Source organism: Homo sapiens, chromosome 15 (assembly GCF_000001405.40).
Source record: "Homo sapiens chromosome 15, GRCh38.p14 Primary Assembly".
Classification (NCBI taxonomy): domain Eukaryota; kingdom Metazoa; phylum Chordata; class Mammalia; order Primates; family Hominidae; genus Homo; species Homo sapiens.
The window spans coordinates 34,623,517-34,645,988 of record NC_000015.10 but is presented as its reverse complement, the minus strand read 5'-3'; the positions used below and the strand labels follow the sequence as shown (position 1 = coordinate 34,645,988).

The 22,472-nt window shown below is 35.4% G+C and overlaps 1 long non-coding RNA gene across 2 annotated transcripts; it reads right to left on the bottom strand.

Annotated features, from left to right (window-relative positions):
* Nucleotides 1-653: 653 nt before the first annotated feature.
* LOC124903462 (uncharacterized) lies at nucleotides 654-19,764 on the bottom strand. 2 transcript variants are annotated; one of them, XR_007064577.1, is made up of 2 exons: nucleotides 19,623-19,764; nucleotides 654-826 (listed from the first exon to the last, which is right to left on the bottom strand). It is a non-coding gene; the product is annotated as an uncharacterized LOC124903462 (long non-coding RNA). The 2 variants fall into 2 exon arrangements; XR_007064578.1 differs by lacking the exon at nucleotides 19,623-19,764 and adding an exon at nucleotides 5,031-5,151.
* Nucleotides 19,765-22,472: the final 2,708 nt, after the last annotated feature.

Here is a 22,472-nt window from a genome sequence, read left to right as displayed (position 1 = left end):
CCATGTCCAGACTGTACCCTGAGACCAATTAAATTCAAATCTCAAGGACTGAGACTTGATGACAGTATGTTTCAAAGTTTCCCAAATGGTTCTACTGTGCAGCCAGGGTTGAGGACCATGAATCCAAATACTAGAAAGGTTATTTTCTATACCTTCCATGCACCCACAAAGAGAGAAGTCAGTGGAGGGGACTATAGCAATGTCTCTCTCAATGTAGAAATGCTTTTTTTTTTCCTCCAGGAGTTATGTTGACTATTTGAATCAAGAGTTATTTGAGAGTTTTCTTTCTTTTTTTTTTTTTTTTTTTTTTTGAGATGGAGTCTCGCTCTGTTGCCCAGGCTAGAGTGCAGTGGTGCGATCTCGGCTCACTGCAAGCTTCGCCTCCCGGGTTCACGCCATTCTTCTGCCTCAGTCTTCCCAGTAGCTGGGACTACAGGTGCCCACCACCATGCCCAGCTAATTTTTTGTATTTTTAGTAGAGACGGGGTTTCACCCTGTTAGCCAGGATGGTGTCGATCTCCTGACCTTATGATCGGCCCGCCTCGGCCTCCCAAAGTGTATTTGAGATTTTTCACACATGTGGCTTGATCACTTGTGATCTTTCACTTTTTGTGGATGATCAATGCACGGCCAAAATTTTAGGTATCTACAACTTTTCAAGGGTTTCCTTAATCTTTTTTAATGAAATTACAAGGGAAAGAGAATTATATAGCCCTGCTCCAGTATCCCAGAGCTTGACTTTCACCCGTACTTGAATCTGAAGAGGACAGCAATGTTTCTGCTATGGATCTCACGCATCTGTTGAACCTGGAAGCTCCTGAGCATCCTGAAAGGCAAAGGAAGGTTTTTCAATTTACTCTCTCTTTGTCCCTTCCACCCCCACTCCCTGTGCCCGTAGCAAATACTAGTCAAGCAGATGGTTTTGGTGTGATGCCCTGGAGGTTAACAGATGTGAATTCTAATGGCATAAGAGGACAAACATTTTCCATTGCTGCATTCAAACCAAGCACATGGTCTGTCCCCCACAAAAACAAATGGTGCTTTAATACGGGTGACTTTTAAAAACTCCACACCAGGGTTAAAAGACTTCTCAGAGTAAGGGGAGAAAAAGTTAATAAGAAATACCTGGACATCACAGGAAATGAACTATTTTTAGTAAACCATCTACTTCTTATATCCAAAGAGTTGGGTATTAACATGATAAAACTGGGGATCCAAGAAAATGAAAAGCTCAGCACTCAACCCCAAAGAGTAGGAATAATTTATTGTCACTTGATGTCCAATGCCCTTCTTGAAGTCAAAGTGTCCCTATAAACCTCATAAAATTAATCAGAAAAAAGTAAGGAAGAGAAACAAAAATAAGCCAAACTTGCAGCACATTCAGCATTCATCACTAGGTCAGCTTGCTCTCTGACTGCTTCCTCATAGTTGTTTGGTGCCTACTGTTCTAGAGTCAGGTAGACCCTTGATTATAATTCCCCTTAACTGCTCTATAAATAACTAAAACATTATAAAATGTTGTTTCCTACTTAAAATATTCTTTTAGGTCCTGCATACCAGTGAAACTACTAACATCAGCTGGTCTAAAGAACCCCACTGATGTCAGCTGATCTGGAGGACCTCACAAGGAGCTGACTCACCCAACAATGAGGTTTCCACATCCTGATGTTTTCATCCTTCTGACCCTGACCAATCAACAACCTCAATTTTCCAGTCCCTTGCCTTCGATGATCCCTTTAAAAACTCTAGCCCAGAACTCCTCAGGGAAATAGATTTGAGGTCTCCTCCCATCTCCTCATTCAACTGCCCTGCAATCATTAAACTCTTTCTCTGCTACAAACCCTGCTGTCTCAGTATATTAGTCTGTTATTGCACAGCAGGCTAATATAAATAGGAACCTCTTGGTCCTGTAACAGAGCCATAAATGTTTAGGAAAATAGGTCTCAAGAATCCAGGAATTTTATTTTAATAAATGTCTTCAATAATATGCAATCTTTTCATTCTAAGCAGTAGATCTAACACTATTCTGATCATCTGAGTAACTACCTTATAATTAAGTTGCCACTTATTATCAGTACATGAGGTTGTCTGTGTGTCTATATGCAAAACCTGCAAAAGACAAGTGATGTTGCAGACTGTTGCCCTAAGGCTTTGGAAAAAGATGGGAGAATGGAGTCATCACATGGCACAAAGCACAGCAATCCTACAACATTCACTTTATAAATGGGTACACCGCACAGATACCAGTTGTGTACACTCCACCTTGAGACAACAGGTTATTAACAGTGACCTGAGCCACAAATAGACAGTAAAGCATTCTTTTATTCCAAATTTAATTAAAATATTTCATTATTAGGTTATTATCATTTGGTAATTTCTACTTATGAAAACATACATTCTCTGCTTTAGCATTTTTATTTTAAAATATAAAAATAAACTAAATTTAGTATTATACCAGAGGCTGGCCAGGCGTGATGGCTCACGCCTGTAATCCCAACATTTTGGGAGGCTGAGGCAGGCAGATCACTTGAGGTCAGGAGTTCAAGACCAGCCTGGCCAACATGGTGAAACTCCGTCTCTACTAAAAATACAAAAATTAGCCGGCCATGGTGGTGGGTGTCTGTAATCCTAGCTATTTGGGAGGCTGAGGCAGGAGAATCACTTCAACTCAGGAGGTAGAGGTTGCAGTGAGCCGAGATTGTGCCACTGTGCTCCAGCATGGACAACAGAGTGAGACTCTGTCTCCAAAAAAGAAAAGAATTATACCAGAGCCTACATCTTTCTAGCATTAAACCCCAAATCAGCTGTTTTGCCGAGGCAAATAATAATTTATCATATTTAATAGGTATTTATAAATTTAATTTTAATTAGTTTTATGTTTTGCTTGTACTTATTGTTCAAATTTCTTTTGGTTTTACATAAGAGCCATAAGCGTATTCATTTTCATACTTAGATACTATTACAAAATGTTAGTAATTGCTGCAATTCTGTGAGCATTCTTATTTCCTTTATAAAAGATTTACACATTGGTTGATTTTGAGAAACACAGGACTAGAAGATTTTCTTTGAAACCAAGCAGGTTGAATTCACATATTTAGACTCCATCTGTGCTGGGAGTCTGGGTAAGTCAACTTAGACTTACAATTTCCACTCTGCTGAGAGAATCCGAAGACAAATTTTACCCAACTTTCCCTGCCTTGACCAGAAAGCTGTATTTCCTTCCCATTAAGCCCTAAATGGGCCTGCTGAATACTTGCTCAGGAATAAAGAGAAGAAAGAAAGTAGTTAAATATTTAAAATCTGAAAATAACATTGCAAACAGAAAGAATATAGATTTTAATCTTTATTTTAAACTAATGCCCATAATTATTTTATCTAAAATCTCCTGTAACCTGTTTCAGAAGATTTTCAAATCTAATTTCAAAACTAATGCCCATAATTCTTTTATCTAAAAATCTCCTGTAACCTGTTTGACTTCATGATCTCAGCTCCCTGCAAAGTCCTCCTAACCAAATACTGTGGGGCATTCTCAGTCTCACAGATGCTCGCAAAGATGCCTGCTCTGGTATCACATGTTGTTCGTGCCCCCACTCCCCTCCCTGCAGTAGCTCTGTAGTAACCAGTCCTCCTGTCATGGCTGCCACCGTGCAAGACACTGCTCCCAGCGCTCTGGGCTGTTGAGTTCAGAGCAGTGAAGTAGAAGAGAATGCCCTCCCCCTGTTTTTATGTAACATTCTGTTAGCAGGATACCAAAATACAGTGGCCTTGTGCTTTAGTGTCTTACAGAATTTATTTATAAAGGAAAAGAAAAAATAAACTTAGTTTTTAACCTATAATTCTCTATCCCTAGGATTAAGAAGTAAAATTACTAGGTCAAAGGTAGAAAAATCTCTATAGTTTCAAGGCTATATGAGAATTTCACTTCCAAAAGATGGAAACAACTTATATCTTTTAACACTGTATGAAAACTTGAGTGAAGCAGTTTCTTATAGACTTGCTGATACTTAACTTTTAAAAAATGATTTTACTGGCTGGGCACGGTGACTCATGCCTGTAATCCCAGAACTTTGGGAGGCTGATTTAGGAGGACTGCTTGAGACCAAGAGTTCAAGACCAGCCTGAGCAACAATAGCGAGACATTGTCTCTACAAAAAATAAAAAAATTAGCCAGGTGTGGTAGTGTGTGTGTGTGTGTGTGTGTGTGTGTAGTCCCAGCTGCTCAGGAGGCTGAAGCAGGAGGAATGCTTGAGCCCAGGAATTCCAGGTTGCAGTGAGCTGTGATCACACCATTGCACTCCAGCCTGGGCGACAGAGAAAAACTCTGTCTCAAAAAAAAAAAAAAAAAAAAAAAAAGAATCAAAGAATCATTACCACTTTATTCTATTTTCATTACCATAATGTATATTTTTATCTATTCACATTTACTAGAAAGTTACTAGTAAGGTCAAAGTCATAGAAAACTAATAGTAATGTAAATGATTCCTGTCATGAAAAGGTAATTTGGGCTAGGCATGGTGGCTCAGGCCTATAATGCCAGCACTTCAGGAAGTCAAGGTGGGTGAATCTCTTGAACCCAGGAGTTCAAGACCAGCCCGGGAAACATGGTGAAATCCCATGTCTACAAAAAAATGCAAAAATTAGCCGGGTGTGGTGGTGTGTGCCTGTAGTTCCAGCTACTTGGGAGGCTGAGGAAGGAGAATCGCTTGAGCCCAGAAGGTTAAGGCCACAATGAGCTGTGATCATGCCACTGCACTCCAGCCTGAGCGACTGGAGTAAGACCCTGCCTCAAAAAAACAAAAGCAAACCACAAAGGTAGTTTGCATCTGGCAAAATGCAAGGGACTATTGCCTTGTAGATAATAACCTGTTTTGTACCTGCTAAGCAAATTCACTTCAGCATTTCTGATGGACTTACATATTTGACTGCTCTTTGGATTCTCCTTTGAGCCAGCTGTAAAATCTTCATTTCCTCATGAATTAATAAGTAAAATCTTTGACATGTGATCTTTTTATAGGACAACCATGATTTACCTTTTAAGAAAGATCCTTTGACCAATGTATGTAATCTCAGCACTTTGGGAGGCCAAGGCAGGAGGACTGCTTGAGGCCAGGAGTTCAAGACCAGACTGGGCAATGTAGTAAGACCCCATCTCTACAAAAAAATAAAAAATTAGTAGGGCATGTTTGCACATGCTTGTAGTCCTAGTTACTCAGGAGGCTGAGGTAGGAGGATCACTTGAGTCCAGCAGGTTGAGGCTACAGTGAGCTATGTGCTACAATAAGGCCATGTCTATGCAGACATGGTGAAAAGGTAGAAATGAAATTCAAAGTTACTTCAAAATAGTTTATCTTCCCTGGCACAAACTGAAACTTTTATGATGCTGTGGAGAGTATGAATTACTACTAAGTCCAGTTGACTAAAATATCTCGAAAACACAGTACATCTTGACACATTAAATAGAACCTCAAACTGCCTGTATGTTCCAAGACTCACTGAAAGTTTGTCAGTTGTTCTCGTGTTTGTTCTACTTGAGGCAGCCCACTCGCTTTCTTTCCTTTCTTCCTCCCATCCTTTCTTCTGTTCTTATTTCCTTCATTTTTCCTCCCTTCCTTTTTTTCAGTTGGCTTTCTAAGCTACTCTAAATTACCAATATAAATCCAGTGCCTTCTTATTTATTTGCAAAGAGCAAATACCATTCGTGTTATTCAGTGGCCACCTTGTGAAAGCTGACTACTTCTACAATGATTGAATTTCTATCTATAATCATTAAGTGGGGCAACAGAAGTAAAAAGACATAAACGGCATTTAGCATAGTATATTACTTTGAAAAACAGATGAATTTTTTATGTAAAATGCTACTGAAGCACTCACTTAAACACAACCATTCAATTTCCTACCTCGAGCCCAGAAGCTCTCTTTGCTGGCCTAAGATATTTTTCTTTATCTAGCATGCCTGATGTTGCAGGTCTCTTTCTCACTCTTTATTCTGCAAGACATGCTCAGATTCTCTTTCCATTCAATTTATGACATAATTCATTGAATGCTACAGCCTACTTGAGGATTTTTAAAAAATATTTTCTAGCCCTGCAATAGAAATTCATTTTTCCAATAAGAAATGTGGTGATGACCCTGTCAGCTAAGTCTCCTAATTCATCTGTCTGTGTGAAAAAGCTCTTCCCTCCAGGCCCCTTCAGAATTCATATATAAATTGCTCTCTATGTATTAGCATCTGCAGTGAAACTAGCTTTCACACTTTTTAAAAAATAAAAAATATGTATATTTTACAATTCCAGAAGTAGAAGATAATAATCAATTCAAAGTATTATTATCCAATTTTTTTCTGGTTCTCAGGGATCTATCCACAGTTATGAGAGGAAAGAATTTCTAAATGACAGTGTACTAACAAAGCATTAAAAATGAGACACATTATTCTAGACTCGCATTGTACTGTTACCAGTAGCATTTTTCTAATCAATATAATAGTTAATCTTAATTCAGGAATATGTCCCAAGTGTTTAAAATGGAAACTTGAATGTTAGTAAATATTTAAAGGATCTAAACATGTTTTTTTTAAAAAACACAAAAATAGGAACTTATAAGTCATTGTGTGCTAGCATTAGAAATTTTAAAAATTAAGTAAAGTGCCTCCAGTAGCATCTCTGGTGTGGCATAAATAGAAAATGCATTGTAAATATGAAATTATGTGGTCAAATGTGATTAACTTGCAGGGGAGAGGAACAAACAGGGCCAGTTTCCCTTGTAGTCTCATACTTTGTTTGTGTAATCAATTGGCCTGTTTTATCCTGGGAAGGTTTTAAGAAAGGATGTTCTGACTGACTACAAGCTTCATTATATCCTCAAACCCTTAATACAGTTTTCCCAGGATTTATAACCAGAGATGGACATTGACAGCTGCACCTCCCCTAACCTGATTTAGCTAGCCTACTCCATCATCTACATATACTTTCATTAATTCAACTGTTATTGAGTATCTCCTATGTACCAGGCATTGAGCTAGGTGTCAGGTAATACAGATGGTTGCTAAAGGGAAAGATGAATAAATCAAAGTCCCGCATCTCAAAACTTCTAAAATCTAGTAGGAGAGACAAAAATGGGCCGGGCGCGGTGGCTCACGCCTGTAATCCCAGCACTTTGGGAGGCCGAGGCGGGCGGATCACGAGGTCAGGAGATCGAGACCATCCCGGCTAAAACGGTGAAACCCCGTCTCTACTAAAAATACAAAAAAAAAAAAAAAATTAGCCGGGCGTAGTGGCGGGCGCCTGTAGTCCCAGCTACTTGGGAGGCTGAGGCAGGAGAATGGCGTGAACCCGGGAGGCGGAGCATGCAGTGAGCCGAGATTGCGCCACTGCACTCCAGCCTGGGCGACAGAGCGAGACTCCGTCTCAAAAAAAAAAAAAAAAAAAAAAAAAAAAAAAAAAAAATGTGTAAGTATGGTAATAATAAAAAATATAATATCTCATTGAAACAAGTAGAATTTTTTTTTTTAATGTTGAAGCACTTCAGTAAAGAGTAGCCATTAAGCTGGACCCTGTCAGTTAAATACAACTTTCACAGGCAGGGATGGGGGAAAGGAAATCTAATTCAATCAAATAGTTTGAATTATTACAAAAAGGAATGTACATGTAAATCTTAGGAATCGTGACTAATTCATCATTGCTAGTGCATAAGGAAAAAAGAATCTAGAAGAGTAATTATAAAAAGCAAGTTCCAGACCATGATAGAGGCGTTCATTGCCATGATGTCTTAACAGCATTGTCATGGAATTGTGTATGAGCTTTGTATTAGTAAATTCTGAGACTTTCCTGATGATACTGAATGATACAATTTGGAAAAAAAAATTATTATCACCCTTCTTCTGATGACTTATAATTCATATTAATTGAAATAATTATGTCTTCACACATTTCTGAAACTCTTATTTCAGCCCCAGGCCAACACAGTAGGATAATGGGTATGCAAGGGTTAAAAAACAGAAAAACTGGGTTGTCCTCCCAAAGCATTGCAGGATGAAGGATTATTTGAACCGGCTTATTTTCTCTATAGTCAGGAAACTCTAAACAATTTGCTTGATAATACATTTTTTAATATTACATGTAAAATATTACATTTTAAAAAAATACAACATTAATCATCTGTTAATTACATGTGATTTTCGATGTTATGTACATAAAAAGAAAGTACTAGCCCTATGCTTCTACCCCCTACTCCAAAGCAGCTGGAAAGTAATATTGTTCAGTGCTGATATGGATGCAGAGAAATGGGTTTTCGTGGATTGCCAGTGAGGGTGTAAATTACTAGAGCCCTTTGGAAAAATGTCTATTATCATATTGAAATGCCAAGAAATATGAATATAAACTTAAAAATTTGAGCAATCCTTATATGAAATCCCAATATGTTTACAAAGGTAGATGCTGCTAGTTATTACTCATTGTAATGTGGGACTAAATAAATAAATGTTCCTTAAGATGGAAAGGACAATCAATTTGGCAAAAGCATATTATTGAATATTATGAAATTCCCAAAAAATATGAGTTAGATATTTACACACTAGCTCACTGGAATGACTACTACATGTTGATGAGGAAGAAAATAGAGTTTAATGTGTGTAGTATACAGATTAATCATATTTTTATAAATACTATCTTTAACTAAATCTTTACTATGAGTATATATGTATATGGGAGCATGGGAAACATGGTTCAGGGCTCTATTTCACGATGTTATTATGAGTGCCCTTGAGATACATTTTTAAAAACCAGGAAAATGAAACATACACTAGTATTTTATTCCTAGCTTAAACTCTCCTCTGTAATAGAAATAGAAAGAACAATTGTCTCACATTCCTTACGGAAGATGTTTACCATTCTCCCTGAGCTTCTGATCCACTCCTGTCTCTTGCATAGCAATGATAGTGCCTCCTAATTCAGAGAAAATATAAAAGCCCCAGCTTAGGGAATTCATCACCTTTCTACCCACCAATGTACAAAGTTGTCCATATTCATTTCCAATCTTTTCATCTATTCCAGGCTGTCTTCTCCCCACTCAAAGCTATTGTCTACTTCTGCGCACCCTGGGTTCTTCTCCCATCCCCTTTCTCCTTGATTTTAACATTTACATCTCTACCCAACTCTTCCCTTCACACTGTAAACATGCATAATCCTTCTCCTCTTAAAAACAAGACCAAGAAACAAAACAAAACAAAACAAAACACATTACTTCCTTTAATCTTGTGTTCCCCTGTTGGGGTGTTATGAAAATTATTGAATAATCAGTATGGCACCATGTGTACAAGAGCCTGAGTAAGGGCCTGAAGCACCTATAGAGCTATGAGTGTCCTTTTAGTTACTGGATCCTGGGGATGTCACTGAGTTCTGTGGAGCATCCAGGGCAGCTGGGATGGCAGGGGGCATTGGGAAAACTTGGGACAGTGGCTGTCTACCATGTTTTCTATTGTCATTAATATCCAAACTTTCAGTTTCATCCACAGTTTATCACTGAAATGTTTTTCCTTTGAAGTATCAACTGATCCTCTAATTGCAGAAATGACAGTCAACTCTTAAATATGCCTGATGATTGGGCTCTCTGCTCCATTTGTCACTTTACCGTCGAATGCATTCTATCCCTTTGGAACGTTGTTCTCTCCATTTTCATCTACGACATCTGCTGCTCTGCTTCAGTGATTCGAAGGTCTCATCTTCAGTTTTCTGGACTTCTGATTCTGAAAACACCCCCTGGATGACCCCCACCCAGGTCATTTTTTACCAATCACCATGACATCCAAATTCATGGCTTTCTCTCTCATTTCTCTCTTGAGATTCAGACTTTCAATCCTGGCATTCCTCCTCAGCCATATTAGAGCCAGCTTCCACTTTGCAGTGAAGGCAACTGGAGCTCAGAATATGAGTATGACATAATAATTTTCTAACTTCAAAAAAGTTATTACCATGAAATACTATGTAACAGAGTTAGACATGTTGAAAGTTAAATGACAGCAGAAGTTACACAAAATTTACCAAAACACAACTCCGTGTGGTATTTCATAGCTAAGGTACTAGAAATGCAACAGACTAGGGCCTCTTTGTGGTTATTGACATGATATTTTTGTTTTTTCCTTCCTTTTTTGTTAATTTAATGTTTCCCCTGTGGCCTAAAAGACTAATGAAGCTTCTTAAGTTCCTGCAGCAGTCCCAGACTGTAACTTAGGCACAAGAAGCTGGGTCATTAAGCTAAAGGTCTCTGGATGAGCATCATCTCTAACAAGCATAAAGGTGATTTTGACCCATATTGTCATTCAGGGAGTAACTTTCCTCATTCCCAATAATAAAACCATAATTGAGTTTCACAGATGAAAGGCAATCAGATCAAAAAGTTTTTGGTTAATTTTGATTTCCTGTACAATGAGATCTTGACAAGGTCCTTTGAAAACAGAGATCTCTAAAATTTTTTAATAAAAGAAAATTAAAAATAGGTGTTTCTAATAGTAATTTAGATATTCATTTGATTTATCAGAAAGTTACTGGTGAACACAATTTAGAAAATTTTAATTTGTCTTGGGAGTAAAAGATATATGTATATTTCTCTTATATATTTAAATATAAATTTGACTCAATATATAAATATAAATATATATATTGAAATGTTAAATTATCATATATCTTACTTTTAATTTCTGATATAAGTACTTTCAAAAACCCCTGATTATTCAAAACCTCCAAATTATTCAATTTGGCAAAAACAATTTAGCAAATAATTTGGCCAAATTATTATAAGAAACCAAAAATTTAACTGCTATATAGAATGGGAACAGATTTCTTATTTGAGCATAATAATGCTTTTAAAGTTTTAAAAAATATATTTTAAAAAACATTTAAATATATTTAAAGTAGTAAATAAAATATTTTGAGTCTGAATAATTTGTCCCAGTCAGGGACTGGGATTAATTAAAACTAAGAATTCTGAAGGAAGTGAGTGTAAATATGATGGTAAATGTGAACAGAAAAGGTATTTTCTTAAACATAAAGTGAACTTCAAAATATATGTCATATGATATTTAAAAGTGCATTAAAATTTGCCTAAAGATTGAATTCACATTTATATTATGAAATAAATTTATGATTAATGAGCACCCATGATTTTATGAATATACTTATATCAAAAAGAGCTAATCTATAGATCACTCAGTATATATTCATAATTGAAATATTAATAGTAATATGAAGTGCTATATTTTAAGCAGAACAGATATTTTTTACATATATGGCCAGAGGTAAACCAACATTGCCACCAAATCTAAATGTATGCTCCTGTCTCTGAAATACAGCAAGAAAATTTGCTGTACTGCAGATGAAGAAAGGGTTCATAAATTTAATATAAAACATCAGCAAATGAAAACTGAAAAGTTTAAATGAAAAGGAATGGAGGTCAAAACTATTAAAAAGTAATGACTTTCTGAAAAATAATTATTTTAATGTCGATATTTATGATATCAACCTCCTATATAATATCACTATTCAATAGTTTCTAATTACAACATTTAGAGTATTTATTGTCAAAATTTTTCTGAGTACATAGTGACATACAATATTTAAATTTATTCTTAGTGCTCAGTGTTTTCTTCTGTGATCATTCCCCCACACTATCACTTTAAATGCATTTATTTTTATCTTTAAATAAACTACAAAGCAGAGTAACCATGGCAGGTCAAGACATTAGTAAATGGTGTGGTTAAAGAACTGTAAAGTTCTAGTTCTAAAAGATTTATAATGACTCAGTTTTCCTCCTCCTAATGGATTTAGCTAATTTTCTTTTTTTTTATTATTATACTTTAACTTCTAGGGTACACGTGCAGAATGTGCAGTTTTGTTACATAGGTATACACGTACCATGGTGGTTCGCTGTACCCATCAACCTGTCATCTACATTAGGTATTTCTCCTAATGCTGTCCCTCCCCCACCCCCATCCCCCACCCACCAACAGGCCCCGGTGTGTGATGTTCCCCTCCCTGTGTCCATGTGTTCTCATTGTTCAACTCCCACTTATGTGTGAGAACATGTGGTGTTTGGTTTTCTGTTCTTGTGTTAGTTTGCTGAGAATGATGGTTTCCCACTTCATCCATGTCCCTGCAAAGGACATGAACTCATCCTCTTTATGGCTGCATAGTATTCCATGGCATATATGTGCCACATTGTCTTTATCCAGTCTATCATTGAAGGGCATTTGGATTGGTTCCAGTTTTTGCTATTGTGAATAGTGCTGCAATAAACATACGTATGCATGTATCTTTAGAGTAGCATGATTTATAACCCTTTAGGTGTATACCCAGTAATGAGATCGCTGGGTCAAATGGTATTTCCGGTACTAGATCCTTGAGGAATTGCCACACTGTCTTCCACAATGGTTGAACTAATTAACACTCCCACCAACAGTGTAAAAGCATTCCTATTTCTCCACATCCTCTCCAGCATCTGTTGTTTCCTGACTTTTTAATGATTGCCATTCTAACTGGCATAAGATGGTATCTCATTGTGGTTTTGGTTTGCATTTCTCTAATGACCAGTGATGATGAGCTTTTTTTCATATGTTCATTGGCCGCATAAAGGTCTTCTTTTGAGAAATGCCTGTTCATATCCTTCGCCCACTTTTTGGTGGGGTTGTTTTCTTGTAAATTTGTTTAAGTTCTTTGTAGGTTCTGGATATCAGCCGTTTGTCAGATGAGTAGATTGCAAAAATTTTCTCCCATTCTGTAGGTTGCCTGTTCACTCTGATGATAGTTTCCTTTGCTGTGCAGAAGCTCTTTAGTTTAGTTAGATCCCATTTGTCAATTTTGGCTTTTGTTGCCATTACTTTTGGTGGTTTAGTCATGAAGTCTTTGCCCATGCCTATGTCCTCAATGGTATTGCCTAGGTTTTCTTCTAAGATTTTTATGGTTTTAGGTCTTAGGTTTAAGTCTTTAATTCATCTTGAGTTTATTTTTGTATAAGGTGTAAGGAAGGGGTCCAGTTTCAGTTTTTTGCATATGGCTAGCCAGTTTTCCTAACACCATTTATTAAATAGAGAATCCTTTCCCCATTTCTTGTTTTTGTCAGTTTTGTCAAAGATCAGATGGTTGTAGATGTGTGGTGTTATGTCTGAGGCCTCTGTTCTGTTCCGTTGGTCTATATGTCTGTTTTGGTACCAGCACCATGCTGTTTTGGTTACTGTAGCCTTGTAGTATAGTTTGAAGTCAGGTAGTGTGATGCCTCCAGCTTTGTTCTTTTTGATTAGGATTGTCTTGGCTATGCAGGCTTTTTTGGTTCCATAATAAATTTAAAGTAGTTTTTTCCAATTCTGCGAAGAAAGTCAATGGTAGCTCGATGGGGATAGCATTGAATCTATAAATTACTTTGGGCAATATGGCCATTTTCACAATATTGATTCTTCCTATCCATGAGCATGGAATGTATTTCCTTATGTATGTCTTCTCTTATTTCCTTGAGCAGTGGTTTGTAGTTCTCCTTGAAGAGGCCCTTCACATCCCTTATAAGTTGTGTTCCTAGGTATTTTATTCTCTTTTTAGCAATTGTGAATGGGAGTTCACTCATGATTTGGCTCTCTGTTTGTTTGTTATTGGTGTATAGGAATGCTTGTGAATTTTGCACATTGATTTTGAATCCTGAGACTTTGCTGAAGTTGCTTATCAGCTTAAGGAGATTTTGGGCTGAGATGATGGGATTTTCTAAATATATACTCATGTCATCTGCAAACAGGGACAATTTGACTTCCTCTTTTCCTAATTGAGTACCCTTTATTTCTTTCTCTTGCCTGATTGGCCTGGCCAGAACTTCCAACACTATGTTGAATAGGAGTGGTGAGAAGGGCTTGTGCCAGTTTTCAAAGGGAATGCTTCCAGTTTTTGCCCATTCAGTGTGATATTGGCTGTGGGTTTGTCATAAATAGCTCTTATTTTGAGATACATTCCATCGATACCTAGTTTATTAAGAGTTTTTAGCATCAAGGGGTGTTGAATTTTGTTGAAGGCCTTTTCTGCATCTATTGAGATAATCATGTGGTTTTTGTCATTGGTTCTGTTTATGTGATGGATTCCATATATTGATTTGCGTGTGTTGAACCAGCCTTGCATCCCAGGGATGAAGCCGACTTGATCGTGGTAGATAAGCTTTTTGATATGCTGCTGGATTCGGTTTGCCAGTATTTTATTGAAGATTTTTGCACTGATGTTCATCAGGGATATTGGACCAAGCAGACCTAATAGACATCTACAGAACTCTCCACTCCAAATCAACAGAATATACATTCTTCTCAGCACCTCATCATACTTATTATAAAATTGGCCACATCATTGGAAGTAAAACACTCCTCAGCAAATGCAAAAGAACAGAAATCATAACAACAGTCTCTCAGACCACAGTGCAATCAAATTAGAATTCAGGATTAAGAAACTCACTCAAAACTGCACAACTACATGGAAGCTGAACAACCTGCTAATTTTCTTTACTTAATATATTTTTAGTTTTCTAAGAAGGCAAGCTGGATTTTTTTTCAAACTTTTAGGATTAGTAATATATTAGTCATCATTCTCCAGAACCAACACTATATAATTAGCAATGGAAAAAGTTAGGTGTGCATTTTTACCTATGTATTTCAATATAATTTCAAATTTATAGAAAATTTTCAAAAATTGTACAGACTCTAGACACAAATATAACTTTTGCCAAGTGTGATGGTTAATACTGAGTGTCAACTTGATTGGATTGAGGGATACAAAATATTAATTCTGGGTGTGTCTGTGTGGGTGTTGCCAAAAGAGATTAACATTTGAGTCAGTGGGCTGGGGAAGGCAGATCCACCCTTAATCTAGTGGGCACAATCTAATCAGCTTCCAGGGAATATAAAGCAGACAGAAAAACGTGAAAATGAGAGATGGTCCTAGCCTCCCAGCCTGCATCTTTCTCCCATTCTGGATGCTTCCTGCCCTGGAACAGCAGACTCCAAGTTTTGGGATTCACTCAGACTGGCTCTCCTTGCTCCTCAGCTTGCAGACAGCCTATTATGGGGCCTTGTGATTGTGTAAATTATATATATATATATATATATGGGAGTTTATTTTTTATATATATATTTATATCTCCTGTTACTTATGCCCCTCTAAGAGAACCCTAATACACCAAGATAAACTAATTATTTACATTTTGCTCTATTTACTTTGCTCTATTTACTCATTCTTTCTCACTCTCCCACGTACACTCCAGTGTATATATTGTTTCCTAAGAACAAGGAAATTTTCATATTCAATCACACAATAATTATCAAAATCAATAAATTTAATATTAACATAAATCATTCTCATTATGTCCTCAATAGTTTTTCCCAGTATAGGATCCAATCTTGGATCCGGTCCATGATCCTGCATTTTGTTGCCTTACTATCATATTGCTTTAGTCTCTAATATGAAGTAAGTCTTTTTTCTGCTCTTATTTGTCATTCTTCCCCTTAAAATTTTCAAAGAGAAAAGCCTACTTCTTTTTGGAATCTCCTTCATATTTAGTTTCCCATTGGAAACGATGATGATAATGATGCCTGCCCCTTATCAAAATATTACCCATTAGTGGTAGCACATATTGATCATTCTTGGCTGAGGCAATTATTATTATTATACCTACAATTTAGTGACTTTCTAACCTCTTCTTTTTTTCTACATATTTTGTTGATATTCTATTGCAAGAAGAACTTCCTTTCTCTCTCATTTATTCATTTCCTTATATCAGTTTGGGTTCATAGATTCCTACTTTATTAAACACATTATGATCTTTTACTGTAGTTACTCATTTCTGATACTCAAATTGTGCCGGGTGTGTACATTTGGAGCCTCTTCAGTTTGGCCCTTAGGTGCTTTCCACCTGTATCTGACATTCTTTGAGAAACCATTTACTTTCTGGAAAAAAATATTCTAGGTAGATGTTGTAGTTTACCTACCTAGGCCCTGGAACCATCCATTTATCCAAGGAGTCCTCATTATTTTTATTGGAGAATGATATTTGAAAACCAGGATCTGTGAGATAGTTATGATCATTGCAATCAATATGACATTGCTGCTAGGTACTGTTAAAAAGTAGAACACGGAAGTATTTGTGTGTGTGTATCTGTGTGTCTCTATCTATCTTCCCACCTACCTACCTACCTATCTATATTGGAAGAACATTAATATTATAGTTCCAATTCCAGTCCAATAAAACAAAGTTAAAATTTGTCTTTCCCTTTTCCATATTAGTACACATTCTCTAACAGTTAGGAATAGCTCCTCCTATCATCCTCAATATATTCATTCATTTGATTGCAACTAAAGTGCCAGAAAATAGTTTCAGGATTGCTATCCCACACCACTACAAAATAAAAAAAATCTATTAACTGTTCATTACTTGTTAATATGTCATTATTTGTATATTATATGTCACTAACAGTCACCCCTCATACACAGTTATTGTGTATGTATGAGGGGTGAGTGTGAGTAGTGATATACAGTGAAATGCACAAACCTTAAATGCACCATTCAATGAGTTTTTGAAAATGCACACTCCAATAATCTATAAAGATAAGAAACATTAAGGTAATCTGAGAAAGTTATCTTTCCACTCTACACAAAGCACCAATGTTCTGATTTGTGCACCACTAGATTTCAATATTAAGTACTTCATGTAAATGGAATCGTATGTTGGCTTATTTCACTCAGCATAATGCTTTTGCTATTCAGCCATGTTGTTGCATGTATCACTAGTTTGTTTCTTTCTATTATATTCAGAACTCATTGTGTAAATACACCAGTTAGGTTACCTTTTCTGCTGTTGATGGATATTTCCATTTTACCATGTTGGGCTATTTTGAATAATGATGCTGTGAGTACGTATAAACAAGTCTTTATATGGATATATTTTAATTTATCTCGGGTAAATATCTAGTGATATATTGCCAAGTTAATGAGTAAGGGTTGTGTATAACTATAATAAAGTGTCAAAAACACATTCCAAAGTGATTATATCATTCTAAACTTCAATCAATATAGGAGTTATTCTATATGCTCAGTAAGAATCAGTTTAAGTCTTTAATTTCAGCTGATTTAATTTATGTGGCATGATATCTCATTGCAGTCTTGATTTACATTTCCATGATAACTAATAACTGAGCTATGGTCTTGATTTACATTTCCATGATGACTAACAACTGAGCAATCTGTATATGCTAACTGCCATTTCATATTTCATATATCTTCCTTTATGATCTAAGTGTCTATTCATGTCCTTTGTTCTTCTATTTGTTTGTCTTTTAATAATTAAACTGTAGGAGTTCTTTATATATTCTAGACCAGCCTTTGCCCAATATAGATTTTATGCATATTTGTTCTAATTTGTGCCTGTGTGCATATTATAAGTGTCTTTTCATGAGAATACTTTTCATTTGGATGCAGTTTACATAGCATTTTTAATGTTTTGGTTATTCTTTACTGTGCTGTAAGTCGAGAAGATATATTTTTGTATTCTTTTAAAAGCTTTACAGGTTTTATACTTTTTAAAATAATTTCTATCAATACATAATAGTTGTATATATTTATGGGATACACCTGATATGTTGATATAAACACACAATGTGTAATGATCACATCAGGGTAATTGGGATATCTACCACCACAAGCATTTATCATTTATTTGGTTAGAAACATTCCAATTCCACTATTTTAGTTATTTTGAAATATAGATTTATTGTTACTTATAGTCACCCTATTATGCCACCAAACACTAGATCTTACTTTGTCTATCTAACTACATGTTTCTACCCATTCAACAACTGCTCTTTATTTCCCCCTCCCCACTCCCCTTTCTTGCCTCTGGTAACCATCTTTCCACTCTTAGATTTTGTATTTATGTTTAAGTCTATGATTCATCATGAATTGATTTGTATGTATGGTGTGACATGCACACACATACACACACAAAGACACATTCAATTGAACAGTGTTTTTAAATCATTTATTAACAGTGCTTTCCTTTACCAACTGAATTGCTTTGGCAACTTTGCTAAAAGTTCATTGAACTTACTTTTTTGCTTTAGTGATCTATCTGTCTATTCTCGTGTCAGTTCCATACACTACTGAATACTCTGGCTTTAATTTAAACTTTGATGTCAAATAGTGTAAATGCTCCAATTATAGGCATCATTTTCAAGATTGTTTTGCTTATTCTGTCTTCTATATGTCCATATAGATTTTTAAATACTTTGTCATTTAATATAAAACAGCCTCTTGAGATTTTGGTATTTCACTGAAAACATACATTAATTTAGGGGAGAATTCACCTCTTAACAATACATAATGTTCCCCAACTTATGATATCTCAACTTATGATTTTATGATGGTATAAAAGCAATATGCATTCAATAGAAACTGTATTTCAAATTTCCACTTTGCACTCTTGATAGATGATAGATAGATATTTAGAGAGATAGAGACAGATACTGATATTCCACCTCTGTTCTTCCAATGTAAACATATTTACGTTTAAGTGCTTGAACATATTTAATATGACTGCTTGAAAGTCTTTATCTGCTAAATGCAACATGTAGACATCTCAAGTTTATGATTTATTTAATATTAACTGCCTTTTAATTTTACTTTTGGTCCTGTTTCTCATATTTCCTTGCATGTATATTTTTTATTATTTTCAACTGAAGTTTGTGGACATGTATTAAACTCTGGATTCTGTTATCTTCCTCTGAAGAATGTTATTTTTAGTTAACTCATCTGGACTAACTTCACAATCTGTCTCACTTGTGGTAGCCAGCATCTAGACTTACTACTTGGTTCTTTTAGCCTGCCAGTTATGTTGCTTCGGAATGTTTGGAGCCTCCCTCATGTAAGTACTGTTGAGGAGTGAACCAAAGATTTGAGAACAGTTTATACATGCAGAGTTTTAGGGGGACACAAACATTCACAGCATCACTGCTACAAAGTGTATTCCTCCCTTGAAGATCCAACACAATTACAATGATAAGAAAAAAGGGAATATTGTTTATACTATATCCCCCATCTTTACTCTCCTCCTGTATGTATCTTTTCATGAAGATCCAATAAGCCCTAGTTCAAGTTCTATCAATTAAAACAAATATTTCACTTTTCTAAACTTTTAACATATTTGTTTGCCATGTTATCCATTTTGGAAGAAGATTGCATACTATTTTTTACTTTGTTAAAAATGTTTTATATAGGTATCATTTATTTATCCAGTATATTTTTCATATCCTTAAAGGAAAGCCTTTATCTTATACTGCTTTTGTGCTTTTGGATTATTTGAAAAAAATTAATTCATTGTCAGAGCTATGACTACATTGTAAAGTCCAAGTGTAACTGAATTGGGAGAACACAGAGTGGGATTTCCCGCATGTCCTTCTCAAACTACAAGTGAAGAGCAAGCATAAAATATATAGACACCTATAAATTAGAAGTTATTCATGTTACAGTCAACTATAAGCCATCAATCATCAACTTGAGCTGCTTTAGAGCACTTGAGTCCCTGATTCATTTGTCAAAAAAAGACAGACAGACAGACAATGAAACCTGGATGTTGATGAATTTCCATGGACTTTCTTTGCTCTTTGGAAGGATGGCGGGATGGACTTTAATTTGCTTCACTTTTGTCTGAAGCTATACATATAGAAAAGAGACAAAATCAGGATGAGATAAGAAATAAAGCATAAATTTCACACCTGAACATACTTTGTGAATATCCTCAGTAAGCAAGTTAAATCAACATTTAGAATTCCAAGATAATATTAACATTCTTTGTGAAAGCTTTTTATTTTACTAGGAAAAATAGACAATTTTACAATTAAAAATATGTTCTATTTTGCATGTGTATGACACATTATACCTTGATTCTTACTTTAGTTCAAATTTTTTGCACATTTAAAAACCTCAAGCCAGATTCTACTCATAGTTACAGATACAGAAATCCTATAAAAAAACAATAAATTGATTCTATCAATATATAAAAAGGATCATATGTAATGTCTAAGTTGGATTTGGAGTTTTGATGATTAGTTAGCATCATCAGTTTAATAATCATATGAATAGATTAGAAGAAATCACATTATGTCTTCTAATAGTTTGAGAAAATCCATATGATAAAATTCAATATCCATTCATTAAAAAATTCTTAGCAAACTAAAAATAGAGGGAAACTCCCTTTATCTGACATAATATATACCAAACCTACAGAAAACCTCACACTTATTGATGAATAACTAAACTATCACTTTAATTTAGAATCATCATCAGAAGAAATATCTCCACTTTTATTCAACATTGTAGAAGTTTTAATCAAAGCAACAGAACAAGAAAATAAATCAATGTATAAGGATTGAAAAAAATGGGGAAAAGTCTTTTTCCCAGACAATAGAATAATATACAAAGGAATGTAAAATAAACATCTAGGACTAATTAAGTTATTTAACAAGGTTGCTGGATATAAATTTGACATACGTTATTAAATTGCTTTCCTATTTATAAACAACATTATGAAAACAAAGTTTCAATAAATTGCGATAGCATCAGTGAATATCAATTTAGATATTCTGGGAATAACTAAATAGATGTGTGAGATATCGCCAAGAAAATTACAAAATATTACTGAGAAGCGTTAAAGGCAGTTAACTAACAAGGCTACATACTATGTTCATTGTTTAAAAGTTGAAACATTACAAAAATATGAATGGAATGTTATCCCACCCAAAACCATAACAAATTTCATATAATTTGACAACATAATTTAAAAATTTATCTGAAAGTACATTCTTGAAGAATAAAGCTCAGCTAGACTTGCAGACTTATAATAAACCTCTAGTAATAACAAACTATGGTAGTAGCACAATGACGACGACAGGCCCATACACAAAAGGAAAAGAATAATATGCTCAAAGATAGACCAATTTATTTATGGACATTTGACAAATGAGATATTAGCACTGCAGAGTAGTGGGGGGAGAAAAGCTTTGCAGAAAATGATGTGGGGCCAAGTGGAAATCAATTTAAATAGAAAATAAACTAAATGGGACTTGCATGGCCCTGTGTTTAAAATTCAATTCTAGGTCTCTTTGTGAAAAGCATGCCCATAAGGCTATGCGAAAATAATTAACAGCATATTTTTATTTCCTGGGGCAAAGACTAAATTTTAAAGCCCCCCCAAAGCACAAATAATAAAGTAAATGATTGATAAATTCCACTATATAAATACTGACAACATTAGTGCATCACAGACACCATGAAAATGGTGCAAATGCAAACCATAATGTAAGAGAATATATTTTTAAAAAATATAACTAAATAGGGACTCTAAAAACAAAAATACCACCACCACCACCAACAACGACAATGACAAACTCTTACCAATAATAAGATAAAGACAGGACTACCTAAATGAAAAATGGGCAAAATATTCAAGCAAATGCTTTATAAAGAGGGAAGGCAAATATCAATAAATTTTAGTAATAAGGGAAATATAAATTAAAATAAGTAAAATATAACGACAAACTCACTGCAAGGTTAAAAAATTTACAGTCTGACAATACTATGTGTTGCTGAGGATGTGGAGATGTCATCTCATATCATGAGCATATAAATTGATACAACCATATCAAATGGCAGTGTGACATTATCTAGTAAATCTGAGAGTATGCAAAACTTATAATCCAGCAGTTTCTCTCCTCAGTGTGCACTGTAGGAAAACATAAGCACGTGCAACAATTATATACAGGCAGCTCTCCATAATATTATTCTGAATAGCCCCAATGTGAAAACACTCAAATATCCATCAGCAATAGAATAGCTCAATAAATTGTTATATTCATAAAATATTCAGCAATTAAAATGAATAAATCACAGCTGTATACAATAATATAGATGGATTTTACAAACAAAATAGATGCCAGACACAAAATAATCCATATAGTATGGTAGCTGTTCAAAACTAGGCAAAACTCTGCTATTTAAGAAAGCATACGGCCGGGCATGGTGGCTCACACCTGTAATCCCAGCACTTTGGGAGGCTGAGGCAGGCGAGTCACAAGGTCAGGAGTTCAAGACCAGCCTGGCCAACATGGTGAAACCTCGTCTCTACTAAAAATACAAAAAATTAGCTGGGTGTGGTGGTGGGTGCCTGTAATCCCAGCTACTCGGAAGGCTGAGGCAGGAGAATCACTTGAACCTGGGAGGCGGAGGTTGCAGTGAGCCAAGATTGTTCCACTGCACTCCAGCCCAGCCTAGCCTACAGTGCGAGACCCCGTCAAAAAAAAAAAAAAGCATATTACTTTTTTTTAATGAAAAGAAATGATTCTCAGTTAAGTCAGGATATTGGTTACATCTGGGAGGAAACAAGAGTTTGCAATCTGGTAATACGCCCATGTTTCTAGA